Source organism: Homo sapiens, chromosome 12 (genome assembly GCF_000001405.40).
Source record: "Homo sapiens chromosome 12, GRCh38.p14 Primary Assembly".
NCBI classification, from domain to species: domain Eukaryota; kingdom Metazoa; phylum Chordata; class Mammalia; order Primates; family Hominidae; genus Homo; species Homo sapiens.
This window is the reverse complement of record NC_000012.12, coordinates 4,679,559-4,695,930: the sequence shown is the minus strand read 5'-3', so window position 1 is coordinate 4,695,930 and position 16,372 is coordinate 4,679,559. Positions and strand designations below refer to the sequence as shown.

The 16,372-nt window shown below is 41.8% G+C and overlaps 1 protein-coding gene across 1 annotated transcript in view; it reads right to left on the bottom strand.

Moving 5' to 3' along the window:
- Positions 1-1,613: 1,613 nt before the first annotated feature.
- Positions 1,614-16,372, bottom strand: part of NDUFA9 (NADH:ubiquinone oxidoreductase subunit A9) — a 45,204-nt gene continuing 30,445 nt past the window's right edge. The window contains exons 9-11 of the mRNA NM_005002.5: positions 13,631-13,726; positions 10,606-10,672; positions 1,614-8,993 (exon numbers count right to left, since the gene is read on the bottom strand). Of these exons, the coding sequence (NP_004993.1) occupies positions 8,823-8,993; positions 10,606-10,672; positions 13,631-13,726 (334 nt within the window). The 3' untranslated portion in view covers positions 1,614-8,822. The remainder of the gene's footprint in view (positions 8,994-10,605; positions 10,673-13,630; positions 13,727-16,372) is intronic.

Below are 16,372 nucleotides of genomic sequence, written 5' to 3'. Positions count from 1 at the left end.
CCAACTTCTCCTTACCTGTAAGGATATATTTGGCAGGAGGTCAACAATTTTTTAGATAAAGGAAGGAATGCTTCATGTCATGAAACATATTAAGGAAGCTCAAGAGTGTGGAAGCTCTGTTTTTTGTCCACCCTCTGATTCCACCAGCTTTCCTAATAATTTATTCGTGGTGGTTTTTTTTTTTTTTTTTTTTGAGACAGAGTTTTGATCTTGTTGCCCAGGCTGGAGTGCAATGGCGCAATCTCTGCTCACCCCAACCTCCACCTCCCAGGTTCAAGTGATTCTCCTGCCTCAGCCTTCCCAAGTAGCTGGGATTATAGGCATGCGCCACCAAGCCCGGCTAATTTTGTACTTTTAGTAGAGATGGGGTTTCTCCGTGTGGGTCAGGCTGGTCTCAAACTCCTGACCTCAGGTGATCTGCCCACCTTGGCCTCCCAAAGTGCTGGGATTACAGGCATGAGCCACCATGCCCGGCCTCATGGTTTTGTTTTTATTTTGGTTTACAACCATTAGATTCAGACTCTCCTAGAGAAAGAATCTAAGTATTAGGCTTCAAAACCTAGTAATCACTGATAAAAGTCATTTGGATGAGAAAGAAAAGAAACTTTTATCTGAGGAATGTGAGCCTCCTCTAAATTACCTGGCTCAGAGGGCCCTTGAAATGAGACAGCAGTCATGTCCCACTCACCCACCTTGAGCTAAGTAATCACCTCTTGAAGCTGCCTGCTGTATGGACTCTAGACTGACTAACACAAGTAGCTCATACCCTGTAATTCAACAATGCATAGCCAATCACTAACCAATGTTATTTCTATAAACCAATGAGAATTCCTGACAAACAACTTTGTATCAGCTCACTCCTTGTTCCCCATTTTGCCTTTAAAAAGCCTGCTTTGAAAAAAAAAAAGCCAAATGGAGCTCACACCCAAGGTTACTTGGAGAACGTGGCGGGTTATGGAAGCTTCTTTGTAAATCCACCCATCCCACTCCGTTAAAGGATCTCCCAACTCACATTTCTTGTGACCTCCCATGGCTCAGATGTGGACTGGCTCCAGGCAACATTGTAAAGCAAGCCCTTTAGATGCCTCCTCCACTTCTCACCGCTCTCAGCAAAACTGCACTGGACAGTAAATCTGGGTCTGGTCCTGCTGTTGCCATTTACTCTCTGGCACTTGGCATATGTGTGGCTGTCCTGTAAAATGGCATGACAATATCTACCTCACAAGGCTGTGGTGAGAATGAGAAAATACACGAGGAGTACTTGGTCCACTTCAGGTCAGCATACAGCACTTCTTAGATCCAGATGTCCTGTTTCCCTGACCCAACAAGGTGGCCAATGGAACAGATCCCACCACAGGTGAGTTTTCTTAGGCACACTTTTTTTTTTTTTTTCAATTAGTTGCCAATATTGAAACATAAAGAAGTTTCACATATTGACAAAAATGAGATTTTTCAGCTTCCCTTGAAAAAGTGGAGATCTGGCAACACTGGCCAGCGCCCTCCCCTGGTAACAACCACCTGGAGTGGGCAGCTCCGCCTGCCTAGTTCACCACCGTCCCTTTGGTTAAAGGATAATTTTGAAACGAAGGTAAAAATTGCAGCTCTCAAACAGATGCAAAAGAAGAGCACATGCCAAAAATTTTATTTCATTTTTCAGTGAGGAATGTCCAAGGAGAATCCAAAGATCAAAATTACTGAAATAAATGTGCTAATAGAAGCAAAACTGGGGAAGGAGGTCGGGTGAATCTACGCTAAGACACAATGTACACGTCTATAGACAAGAATTATTTTGCTCTGCTATCAGTTACCTACAGCTTACAGAGTTGCAAGATAGCTCCCATAGAATCAAAATCAAACAGCCAGGAAGGAAGGGTCTTTGTCCAGAGTCTAGATTCCAGACAATGCATAGTTTTCCACTGAAGTACAATGGGATCTCCCCCTACACTTCCATTTCCAAGTCCTATTTATGGACTGTCTAGCCCCAGAAAAGATGTGTTTTTCCCCAATCAGATGCTATAAAGCTGTCACTTCTCTTGTTTTTTATTGTTTATTCAGTTATAAAATGTCGAGGGGAAACTAGATAATCTCGATTCCCTTACGATTCCTTAATTCAAATTTCTTACTACTGCTTCCACCCAGTTCCCCGCTACATCCATAAATCATTCATCATTATTTAGCCATTCAGGTCCTTATCAGTGAGGTATAGCTAGTTTTAATTTGTGCTAAGGTGTTAATGGGCAATGTTTTATTAATATGATACTTCATCCTCAACATCTACTTCTACAACTTCAGTTACCATCTCAAACCATCACTCTCCTGAAAGTAGAACCAGATTCAGCTTTAAACACCTGCTGTCAAGAAGGCCCAGACATCTGTCAGCAAAGACCCTTGCCTGGTAAGACTGCCCTTCTCACCCCTGGCCCAGTCTTGGAGAGAGGATAACCACTGCTGGTAAACTGGGGGTGGAGATAAATGAAAATACAGAAGAGTAGCCAGCCACAGGGTCTTCTTGGATCCCAGCTGTGGGGCAGAGAGGAAATTTAACGCTTTAATTATTACACAACACTGGGCATCCTAATTATCAAATTGAGCCTATTATAACTTGAGATTTTATTATAGAATTAAAATTATTACCTGAACAAGACCAGAACAATTTGGGGTCCGATGGAGTTTTCATCTAAGTGTAAAGAAAGACTTCCCACCTCATTCATTCATTTATTCAACAGATGTCTGGGACTGTTTTAGGTGCTGTGGACATAGCAGTGATTATGACAGATAAAAAGTTCTGCTTCAAGTGCTTTATTTTTTTAAAGAGATGGGGTTTCACTCTGTTGCCCAGGCTGGTCTCAAACTCCTGGGCTCAAGTGATCCTCCCACCTCAGCCTCCCAAAGTGCTGGGATTACAGGCGCGAGCCACTGCACCCGGCCTAGTACAGAGGTTTTAAAGGAAAGCCTAGTCACTAAAAATAAAATTCTGGCCGGGTGTGGTGGCTCATGCCAAGCAGATGTTAGTGCCATGCTTGTACAGCCTACAGAACAGTGAGCCAAATAAACCCCTTTTCTTTATTAATTACCCAGCTTCAGGTACTCCTTTATGGCAATACAAAATGGACTCACACACATGCTATCGTATACTACTGCTATCATATACTATGCTATCATATACTATTACTTGTCAGCCCACACAATCCCACCTATGCTCTGGATTCTGGCCCTTCCATTCCCTCTAGGGCTAGGCACCACAAGTTATACCCTCCCTCTCTGCCAACAACATCATCATCTGCTCGCATTAGGGTACTAAAAGATTTCCCCCATCAAGATGGCCTTCATGCTCCCCTCAGCCTGACTGCACTTCAGACAGGCTTCTTCCTAACACGATTAGGCCATTCTTGTATTGCTATAAAGAAATATCTGAGTCTAGGTAATGTATAAAGAAAAGAGGTTTAATTGGCTCATGGTTCTGCAGGCTGTACAGGAAGCGTCACATAGGCATCTGCTTCTGGGGAGGCTTCAGGAAGCTTCCAGTCATGGCAGTAGGTGAAAAGGGAGCAAGCACCTCACATGGTAGGAGTAGGAACAAGGGGTGAGGAGAGTTGCCTCACACTTTTAAATGACCAGATCTTGTAAGAACTCACTATCTTGAGGATTGTACCAAGAGAATGGTACTAAATCATTCATGATAAATCTACTCCATGATCTAATCGCCTCCCACTAGGCCCCAACTCCAACACTGGAGATTACATTGCAACATGAGATTTGGGTGGGGACATCCAAACCACATCACCAATATTAGGCACCTGACTTCCCTTAGAGCATCAGAAAACTTAAAATTATAAATTATTTGAGTTCCCCTTTGAGACATACATCTTCCCTCAGCCTCTTGCCAGTTTTACAACCCAGGACTGTCTTTCTCAAGGACCCAGGGGAACCATTCTCTGAAATGTAACCTCAAAAGGAGATAGCACTCCTTTCTCCCACTTGCTGTGGGATGTGCCTAACTTTGGTGGGCACCTTGCTCCAAGCTGCAGGACTACTTCCTGTCATAAGGATGAGATGTTTACTCTTCCTTTGGATAAAGCCAATCAGCAAACACAGATGACCCATGACCCCCCCCCCCATCCTGGCCCTCACAGGATCCACATGGCTTCTTGTTCTCAGTACTTCTACACTCTCACACAGCCCTCAAAAACCCCACCACCCTCTGCTTCCAGGGAGGTGAGTTCAGACTTTCTTCTAGTCTCTTCTCTATTGTAAATAGCCCCTTTCCTTCTCTCACAAGAATCTTTTCAAGTTTAAGTCTCTCCTTACTTCATTCTCTTGGATTTTCCTTCACAGGAAGGGTTTCTTCAAATACGCCCTCCATTCCACTATACCTCCCATTCACTCCAAGACCTTCTAGAGTGTAACTCTGGGAATGTCTTCCTCCTGAGCATCCTTAAATCCTTTCTGGAACAAGGCATCAGTTTTGTAGCCAGAAAGATCCAGGTTGGAAAACCAATTCAGCTACTTACTAATGGGGCAATTTACCTTCTATAAGTCCCTGTTTCCAGCATTTGGGAAATAGGAATCCCTCCTTCTCAGGAACGGCAGCTATTTTATTAAGTCAGGAAACAAATGTATGGACTCAGATGGGCATGATATTCCCTACTTAAATGATAATGGCTCACATTTACTTAGTTCTTATTATGTGCAGGGCTCAGCATTTTACATGCATGATCTCATTTAATTCCTCATCACTATCCCATCATGTAGTTATTACTATCACCCCCATTTTATAAACAAGAAAACTGAGGCTGACAAAGAGAGGTCAAGTGACTTGTCCAATCTCACAACTAAGAAGTAGTGGAACTCATATTCGAAGCCAAATCTGTATGGAACTCAACTGCTCTGCATCACCTCCAAGGTAAAGGTTAAACTCGCTTGTGCCCCTCCCAACTCACGGACTCTGCCTCCCACTCATAACCACCCACTCATTCATGCCCCACTGCAATTGCTCATGCTGTTCTCTTCCACAGCATGAATGACTGCTTCCTCCTCACCCCGGTCCAACACACACATTTCAGCAGGTTAACATCAAGATGCAGCTTTAAAAATCCGTTTTCTATGGAGTTTTTGCTAATCCTTCCAGAGACCTTTCTTTATCTTCTCAGAGATCTTTGCATATATTCCCATATATGCTTCCATCATGTACCTTTATTATTATTATTATTATTATTTATTTTAGACAGAGTCTCCCTCTGTCTCCCAGGCTGGAGTGCAGTGGTGTGATCTCAGCTCACTGCAACCTCTGCCTCCCAGGTTTCAGTGATTCTCCTGCCTCAGTCTCCCTCCTGGGCTGGGACTATATACAGGTGGGCCCCACCATGCCTGGCTGATTTTTTGTATTTTTTAGTAGAGACGGGGTTTCACCATATTGGCCAGGCTGGTCTTGAACTCCTAACCTCATGATCCACCCCCATCAGCCTCCCAAAGTGCTGGGATTACAGGCAAGAGCCACCGCGCCCAGCCCATAGAACTTATTTTTGTCATTAGGATGAAGAATGTGAGATGATCTTAAGGCCTAGCAAAGCTGTGGGAAATACACAGGAGGGCCAAGGAAGAACATGAACGGAATTTAAAGTAGAATCAGAAGGTAAACAGATTTGCTGAATCACAAAGGTTTAATGATAAATGTAGGTAAATGAGGAAGAAAACATGATAATGGGATGGGTTTACAGTCTTGCAGGCTCAAATCAACTGTGAGAATCAGGTAATGTGCAACCTGAATCCCTAGAAAGGTGTGGCTTGAAGTCTCTATGGGGACAGCCCCTATAAATGGAGACTCAGCCCATGCCTCCTTATGAAGAGAATCACCCTGGATATGAGTGTCCTAGATCTTATGCCCAGCTCCCAGTTACTTGTCATATGCAACCTCCATACACTGAGAGGGTGACATCCACTAGCTTAGGATGGTAAAATTGTTTCCTTAGTCAATGCTACGGCTTCAGTGTTTGTGTGGGGGGCGCCTCCGCCCAGCCAGCCGACCAGTCCGGGAGGTGGGGGGCGCTTCTGCCCGGCCGCCCCTACTGGGAAGTGAGGAGCCCCTCTGCCCGGCCACCACCACGTCTGGGAGGTGTACCCAACAGCTCATTGAGAACGGGCCATGATGACGATGGTGGTTTTGCGGAATAGAAAAGGGGGAAATGTGGGGAAAAGATAGAGAAATCACATTGTTGCTGTGTCTGTGTAGAAAGAAGTAGACATGGGAGACTTCACTTTGTTCTGTACTAAGAAAAATTCTTCTGCCTTGGGATGCTGTTGATCTATGATCTTACCCCCAACCCTGTGCTCTCTGAAACATGTGCTGTGTCCACTCAGGGTTAAATGGATTAAGGGCGGTGCAAGATGTACTTTGTTAAACAGATGCTTGAAGGCAGCATGCTCGTTAAGAGTCATCACCACTCCCTAATCTCAAGTACCCAGGGACACAAACACTGCGGAAGGCCGCAGGGTCCTCTGCCTAGGAAAACCAGAGACCTTTGTTCACTTGTTTATCTGCTGACCTTCCCTCCACTATTGTCCTATGACCCTGCCAAATCCCCCTCTGCGAGAAACACCCAAGAATGATCAATAAAAATAAAAAAATAAAAAATAAAAAATAAAAGAAATATACAGCATCCTGAGATGATACAAGTTAGAGATGAGAAATAGCATTGCTAGAAAATGAAGATAATTACAGTTAAGACAGAAGAAGTAAGACCTGGTGTTCAATAGATCAGTAGGGTAACTAGAGTTAATACTAATCTACTGTACATTTCAAAATAGCTAGAAGAGAGTAATTTGAATGTTACTAGCATAAAGGTAAATGTTTAAGGTGATGGATATCCCAATTACACTGATTGATTATATGAATATATCAAATTACCACATATACCCTGACAATATTTACATCTATTATGTATCAATAAGTTTTTTTTTAAGAATCAAAAAAAGGAAAGAAAGTGTAGATATTCTAAGAGAGGACACTGTGCATTATAGAATTATAGTTCCTTTTCAAATTAAATCCACCCATCTCTGTGCCTAATGGCTGGCTTATGGCCAGGAGGGGTGTCATCCAAAATAACAGACAGCATCTGAAGAAAAAACGTGAAGTTGGGTTTGTGTTCCTTTCCCTAGTACGCTGATTCTGACATACTAGTGTACAGGAGAATAAACTAGAATGTTTAATAAAACTAAAATTCCTGGGCCCTCCTTCCTGAGACTCTGATTCAGTAGGTCTGGGGTGGGGTCAGCAACCTGGATTAATAACAGGGATCACACTGAACTCTGATACAGCTCTTCTGTATGGCAGTGCTTCTCATACTGTAATGTGCATACAAATCTCCTGGAGACCTTGCTAAAATGCAGATTCTGATTCAACACGCCTGGGACAGGACAAAACCTAGGATTCTGCCTTTTTTTTTTTTTTTTTCTGAGACAGGATCTTCAGTCCAAGCTGAAGTGCAGTGGCACTATCATAGCTCACTGTAACCTTGAACTCCCAGGCTCAAGCAATCATCATACCTTAGCCTCCCGAATAACTGAGACTACAGGTGCGTGCCACCATGCCCTACTAACTTTTTGAAATTTTTCTGTAGAGACAAGGTCTTGCCATATTGCCTAGGCTGGTCTCAAACTCCTGGCCTCAAGCGACCGTCCCACCACAGCAACTCAAAAGCGTTGGGATTACAGGTGTGAGCCACTGTGCCCAGCCCGGGTTCTGCATTTCTAACAAGCCCCAAGATGATCCCAATGCTGGTGATCTATGGACCACACTTGGAGTAGCTCACTGTTGACCGTTTTGGGATAAAAAGATTCTGATGCAGGCAGAAAGGGCAGGTGGAGAACTTACCTTCAACACTGATATACCTTTCTCTCTGTAAGGAGACGGGCATTCCCTCATCAAACAGCGTTTTTACTGACATCCCTGTCCCAAATATAGATCAGGAGGCTGAAGTCCAGTGAAACACAATGACCAACCCTGGGTCACCTAGGATGGTGGTATGTTGGCTTCACCACAAATTGTGGGAGTTTTAAATCACACTGTACTGGTGGGATTTGCCAACACTAAACCAAATGTTCATCTGGGTCTTGGCTGCAATTTTAAGAACTTCATTAGAAGGTCATAATTCCTAAGTGCTGGCACTGCTGGCATAGAAGCTGAAGCATCTCCTTTGCATGTGAAGAGAATCTATCTCCACCTATGTGTCTGAAATAATCCAGATGTGGTACTAAGGGCATCGGGCTGGCCTCAGATAGCTCAGATCCAAGAAGACTGTGGAATTACTGCAAGGGGTTTGAGAATCTATGGACAATGTTTTTCTATATATGTACTACTATTTTTAAAAGGCATATGGACATTATTAAAATAAATTTTAAAAACACCTTCAGTGTAAACACATTCAGGTTAGGGGATACTGTATGCTCTCTCATTTAATGGAAATTAAAAAACAATCACATATCACTTGGGGTCTTTACAATACTTTGACATTAAAAAGGGTCCTTGTCTTCTAGAACGTATGCTAGAAGTGGTTTGTCATAGGAAAATTCAAACTCTCTGGCATTTCAGAGAATAAATAGTATATATATCATTATTAAATATGTTTAACAAAAATCATGCTCAAGTTCTAAGTGACTACATTTCTCATTTTGTAAATCAAGGAAGAAAATACTGCAGAATTCAACCTGAAATGTTTTAATAGTGGAACTGTGTACAGGATCCTCTAAAGAGACCGCCTGGCTGGGTGCTCAAACCACATGGGCCGACCCAAAAGACGCCAAAACCAAGAGCTGCTCAGGAGGCACTAAATGTTGACGGTCTTGGCCGGCTTCACATCCTCAATTTCAGCAGACAGCCAGCGGTAAGTGCGATGACGCCGCAGCACCTCAATGGCCTTGAGTTCCAGTGGTGTTGCCTGAATACCAAGGTCTTCTAAGCCAGGCAGGTGAGGCAATTTCATGTCTGTGATGTGCATCTTTGGATAAACAAAGGACCACAGACAATGCTGAAAACTGGCTGAGAACAAAGTGCTATCCTAGCAGGCACTTAAACATTCAAGCTGGCATGAGTCCTATTATTGAGACTTAATTGCTTTCAAAGAATATGTGGCAATTTTCGATTCATGCAAATCACTATAAAAGCAGAACACACAAAGAGGGCTTAAGACAAAAGAGGGCGAGATCACCAAGTATCAGATCGAGGTCCCCAGTGGCAGCCGCGAGCACAGGATGTTGGCACTACATGAGCCATTCTATATACAGATTTCAACAGAAATAAATCTAGGGCAGGGAAGCACAAGTCACCACACTTGCCAGGGGAGGCTGAACAGGAGGGTTTAGGAATAAAATCAGGGCTTAAGCAGAGCTGGTCCATTCCTCAGTCCTCTCACGCCCCTGTTTTCTGAGCACGGGCGTTCTGACTCAGTTTTAACTTTGAATTTAGGAGATAACACAACATTTGTTCCTTGCCCATTAAAAAAAAAAAAAAACAAGTAACTTTTTTTGCTCCAGCTGTACTCAACCTGGTTGACTAATGCTCACTGTAGAGCTAGAAAACCAAACCCATCTTGTTTATAGGGAAAGATAATGAACTGTAAAGTTTGCAAACATCCCAGATTATTATTCAAAACCACATAAATAGAATCCATTTGCACCTAGAGCAGCAGCAATCCCTCATCCTACCCACCTGAAAGTCTGCAATTCTTTTACCAGAGGGCTGTAAGCCAGTCTGCAAACCAAATCCAAAACCTACTCAGGCCACTGTATCAACACTTTCTCAAGTATAAACGTAAGAGACACTTTAGTGTAAGATAAACTGAAGTGTCTGACAACCAGCGATCCTGCCTGATCTTTCATAGACCATGTCTGAAGAAAGTATGTGAGTTGCCCACTTCCACATGTTCCCTAAGCACTACTTTCTCATCTTCTCTACACTTTAGCTTTCAGGCAGCATTCAGGGGACAATTTGGCTACTTCTTGCCAATATATGGTCCATAGGTCTTCCAAGGTAGATGTGGTATTGGTATAGTATTTTTATTTTATTTTGCATCCTCCCTAGAAGCAAATGCACAGGCACATGACATGAGGTCTGAGAACTGACCATTGGATGTGGCAGCAAGGAGACTGGAGATTGTGGATAACCTTGAAAAGAGCAATTTTAGGGGAGAAATGGGAATAAAAGCCTGACTGGAGTAGGTTAAAGAAAGAAGGAAGAAACTGTCAACAGTTTCTTCAGGACGTTAGGAGGAAGTTAGGAGGAGTTAGGATGTGAAGGGACACAACAGGAAAGTAGCTGGAAGAGTGATGGGAGGAAGAGAGGCTTTGGCAGGGGAGCTATTAGGCAATTTTGTGTGTTGACAGGAGTGATCAAGCAGAGAAAGAAACACTGATAATGACGGACAGAAAGTAGGGAGGAGCCGCCCCCTGGAGCAGGGCAGGTGGATGAGCTTCAGCGCTAGTAGAGGGGCTGACTGCAGACAGCAAGAACAGCAAACAGACAAGGGCCGGGAAACAAGCAAGCAGGCAAAGCAAAATAAGTCTAACGCCTCATCATCTGCCCAGGCAGACGCTTTCCACACATGTACTCACCCGCTCCACTTTATCCCTTGTTATCCAGGGCTCAAATGGGCTTATTTCAAAGACTCTTGCTACCCATCTGGAAAGAGAAATACATATAGCACATGTGATAAGCATCTCTCTGCCCAAGATGTAAGCTAGCCTATGAGAACTGCAGGAAGACAGACCGCTGTAGAGCAGTCTGAACTGATTTTTTTTTTTTAAGAAAATAACCACCTCGACCTGTGAGGCTACCTCTGCTTTTTGGTCCATCTCCTCTCAAGCCAACCCAGTCGGCTGCTGTAACTGCTGGTACACTTTGTTCTCCTCCAAAGAAACAACAGATCTTAAACTTAAAATGAAATAAAACCAACAAACAACAAAGCAAACAGAAAAACTCCAGTATTTAATCAAGTCTGTGAAATTCAATTTAATCTAAACCTCAGATATTCAAATATGCTGCCTTTACAGAAGCAGGGCAAGCTGAATGGTGTGTAAAATATACAACGTAACCCCTGAAAGCTGGGGCCCTTGAGGAAAAAAAAAAAAATCCAAAAGCAAGGAGAAGGCTAAAATCTACGGTTCAAATCAGGACGACAATATAAAACCCAAAACGGAAAAGGCCACCTATCTTCATTACTGCCATCTCTTCACTGCTAATGAAAATTGAAGGGCTCCTTACGTGCCACTTGAGCTCCCATCATCAGTTACCTCAGGGCAGTGACTTTTTCTTTTCTTTCCTTGTTTTTGTTCCACAGACAGGGTCTCACTATGTTGTCCAGGCCGGACTCACACTCCCAGGCTCAAGTGATCCTCCCACTTCAGCCTCCCAAGTAGCTGGGACTACAGGTGTACACCACTGTGCCCAGTAGCAGTGGGTTTTCAACTAGCATCTGAGGAACACTAGGAATTTGCTGGGGCCCCACAGAGTCCTGGGGGGCCAAGGGTTTGGGAGTACATGCGTTGAGTATCACCCATCACTGCAACCAGACCAGCTCTTTTATTGGATTTACCCAGCAGGACTTGACGTAAAACTTCAGTGAGCACAGGGTTCCACAGCCGTTTAAAGGCTTGAAAAACAACATTCTAATGCATAGTATAAATAAATGAAAAAGGAAGCTGGCTGGAATTTCTCCAGCAACATATAAAGCCTCAGATTCCTCAACGGCAGAAAAAAATAATTTATTGGGCTAACATAGCTTAATAAAAACACTCATTACAAACCTCTAACTCTCTGTGCCCTCATTCTATGCTAACAGATCACTTCAGGTCTCTATTCTAGTGTCCTCAGTGGGCCATGTCATGGGCATACATAAGCCAACTCTAACTCAATTTTATATACAACCATGAAAGTGCCTCACTGCAATCTGGCTTATATCCCTTTCACGGCACTGAAGCCACGGTCACAATGGTCATTTGTAGACATTTTTTGGTCCTTTATCTTATTTGACTTTTCTGTAAGACTTCATTCTACCAATATTAACAGAGTGCCTAATGTGTACCAGGCATTGTTCTAGGGGCTTGAGATACATGTGAATGAACAGCAATGTTCCCCTTCTTAAAACATCGATTCTCTCCTGAAAACACTCCATTCCCTTTGGTATCTAGAATTCCAAACTCTCATTTCCCACTTAAATGCCTGATCACTTTTTGGCCTTCTTGTAAGTTTCTCTTACTCTGTGGCCTCCTCTTCCACTCACTCCACATACTCTCCTTACTTACTTTATAGATAACTGAGTATTAAAGGAGACAAAGTGAATAGTCTGAAAGGTGTAACACTCAATAAATATCGTTATCACCCTGCATTCTAGTGGTCTATTTTTCTGGTACCCCTGTTAGACCATAAGATTTTTGAGTTTTTGTTGTAACATTCTGACCATAAGATTTTTGAGTGTTTGTTGTAACCTTCTGAGTACCTAGTACATTATCTAAGACATAGTAGGCATTCAATAAACATTTGTTGAATGAATGGATGAAAACCCAAATGAAGATCAGTTTGTGGCACAATGGATGTGACAGTCTCCTTAACCAGACCACTAGGGTGTGACATGGTAAGTTCAAGATTTTATTTTATTTGGTTCAAATCAGGACAATATAAAACCTAGGACGAGAAAGGAGCTCCCATCAACAGTTACCTCAGGGCAGTAGGTTTTTCTTTTCTTTCTTTTTTTTTTTTTTGTTCCAGAGACAGGGTCTCACTATGTTGTCCAGGCTGGATTCAAACTCCTGAACTCAAGTGATCCTCCCACCTCAGCCTCCCAAGTAGCTGGGACTATAGGTGTGCACCACTGTGCGCAGTAGCAGTCACCTAGGCTGGAGTGCAGTGGCACAATCTCAGCTCACTGGAAGCCTTGAACTCCCAAGCTCAAGCAATTCTCTTGCATCACCCCACCTCCACCCCAGTAGGTGGGACTACAGGCAGATGCCACCACATCCAGCTAATTTGGTATGTTTTGTAGAGATGGGGCTTCGCTATATTGCCCAGGCTGGTCTCAAACTCCTGGGCTCAAGCAATCTGCCCTCCTTGGCCTCCCAAAGTACTGGGATTATAGGCATGAGCCACCACTCCCAGCCAAGTCAAAGATATTTAACCCACAAAGAGAAGAAGTAAACTAAGAAGCAGGGAAAGAAGAGAAGGCAACCACAAATCCAAGTCTGAATTAGCCTGACTCCTTTCCCCAATAGCATGATCAGGTTGATTTAATAATGAGCGACATGAAACACAGGGGAACCTGACTGCCCCTTACATATGTGCCTAGCAAGATATTTCTCCAAAATTAAACTCGATGGTTTTAAATTGGAGAAAGTGAAGAACTGCATCTTCACTTTTGGGAAGTGGGAAGATTCACTTTTGGGAATTGGGAAGATTTAATGTTCCAATATATTTTTTTTTAACCAACACTAATCTATTTCTGCTTCTTCTCTATGCTAATGTCATAACACTAGGAGATCTGGAGACCAGCCCTTCACACACCCTATAACCCTAAGGGAGAACATTAGGAACAAGTGTGTGGAGCTGGCTTTTTCAGAAGTCACACAAAAGGAGCACTCTACTTACCGATAGGCAAAAAGCGGCAAGGGGAATGGGAGGAACAATCTGTGAGCCACAGCAAAGATGTACTTCACCAGGTGGAAAAGGAGGTACCGACTGGGACTATAAAAAGACAATACACAGTTCTTTCAATTACACGCTTCTCACAAAGTTTCCTTTATAACAAAATAACATTTTCCTTATAAAAAAGGAAACATATATGCACTGTAGTAGATACAGAATAGCACAAAGAAAAATCACCCATAATCCCATTATGAAAGATAGTTAATATATTTGATCTATATCCTTCTCATCCCCTTACATATATACATTATTCTGCTTTTAATAAATACACAATCCATTCTATTCCGTAATGTCTTTTTCATTTAACATTACATCATAATCGTCTTTCCACATCATTATTTTATTGCATGTTTCATGACAACATATTACACTGCATGTAATCACAATTATTTTATCAATTGCCAGTTTTGAGATATTTATGCTATTAAAATTTTTTTCTTTTATAATGTTTTAATGAACATTCTTGTAATAAATATTTGTACTTATCCATGATTACGCATTTAGAATATATTTGTAGAAGTGGAACTGGGTCAATGTAGACTTTAAAATTTTAAGGCTTTTATTGAATACTTCTAAACTGCTTTTCAAAATGGTTCTATCAATTTATATAAAATGTTAAGTATATAACATTTTAGATAATTATATAAATTATAATTATATATATGTAATTATATATAAGAATGCCCCCTCCACCCGAAATGAGTTGTCATAAGAAAATAAAATTTTTGCCAATCTGCTAGGTTAAAAAAAAAAAGGTATCTCATGTTTTAATTATTATGTCTTTAATATGAGAGATCATTTCTTCACGAATTTTTGGTCATTTATACATCTATCTTTTCTTTCCTCCTGGAGTCCCTGTCTATAAAAATAATTTGTAAGAATTCTCTATATTTTAGTGATATTGTTGGAAATACCTTTTATTGTTTGTATTTTAACTTTTAGTGTTATTTACAGTGTTTTGTGCACATAAAATTTTAACTGTTTAATTTAACCAAAACTACTGATTTTCTTTATGGCTTGGATTCATAGTTAGAAAATTCCTCTGCAGTGACATAAATTTCTACATATTTTGTCTAAACCTTATAAAAAAGATTTTTTTTTTACTATAAAGTTCCTTCTGTGACGTATTTTTGTACATTATATAAGGTAAACATGTAATTATATTTTTCCCAAGATGTAAGCCAATTGCTTCAATGCTACTTACAGAATCATTTACTGTACTGCCTCTTTCCCTATACTGAAATGTCACCCTTATCACATACTATATCCTTACATATAATGGGACTGTTTCTGAACGTTCCGCTCTATTCCATTAATCTGAATAGTTCTGTACGATTTTAACCTAGCATTAATAAGTATCAGTGCTTATAATGCATTTTAATATTTCTTTACCCATTTCCTAATTCATTTGCATGCTTCATGACAGTAAATCTGTGACAACCAAGAGCTGAGTGAAGGTAATTCAGTGAGAACCTCATTATTCTGACATACTTTACTAAAAAACATGAAACTATCAGCCAGGAGAAATATCAGACAAAGGCCTTAGCAGGGTTCTTCAAATTCCAGAGGGATTTGTAAGGATCATTACAGGACATATAATACATGCTACGCCAAGAGCAACTTGAATTTTTACGATGACAAACAAAACTGGTATCATGGGTTAACTAACTCTACATAATAGGTTTCCTTTTCAGCTGTTCTGAAGCACTTTGTGTTCCATCAAGTGCAACCGGAACACTAGTTTAAGTGCCCTTCCTCACAGCCAAAGGTACATTGAAGCCCGCATCCTCCCAGCTTAGATTTCAAGGCTCAGCATCACAGTTATTCCTCTGCAAATATCCTCAGCAAAATCTTGTCTCCCAGGCCCCTACCCACTATACTTGCTAAGCAAAACTCACTCTGGTTGACCCAAACATGTGCCTTCTCTGAGCCTGAAACCCCAGAAGGACAAAACTGTAGACGAAATACAATTGAACTGATTGACTTCACCTTATTTTTTTATCAGTAATTTCCAATGGAACACTCAGTTCTGCTTGGCAATCCCACATGTTCTCCTAGGAAATGCTCTTTCCTGTTCTCCCAGGGCATACTTTCTATCTTCTGTCCTCAAATTTTCCACACACTTTTCTGACCCACTCCATCCTGCCTTTTAGCTAACCTCACATTCCAACAAGAAAAGATACTCCTAACATTCCCACAGCCAAACCTACCTGCATCTGCATATATCCTTGAATTCTTTTCCTTGTTAAAGTTGAAGAAATGTTTGCCTTTTACAAAGGTCAAACCCTCATTTGCACTCTGTATCCAACTCCTCTCAATTCCTGAAGGACTTTGCTCCTTTTCTGTCGGCCTCATCTCCTGAGTCATGAAGTGACATCTCTTTCCTGGACCATTCTTACCAATTTATAAACAAGATGTACCATCTTCCAAATCCAGGGTGGTACCTCCCTTGACAAGACATTCATGTTTCATAGCCTTCTCTTTACCCGTTTCCTTTGCTCCCTTTTACAGGGAAACTTCTCCAAATAGTTACCTAACTGTTGCCTCCACTTCCTATCCTGCCATTCAAATCTCACTGCAATCCAATCTGCCCTTTGCCTAATGTTCAAATGAGGTCATTAAGGTGACCATGAATCTCTATGCTGTCACTCACTCAACCTCCTGGCAGCATCCAATATAGTTGCC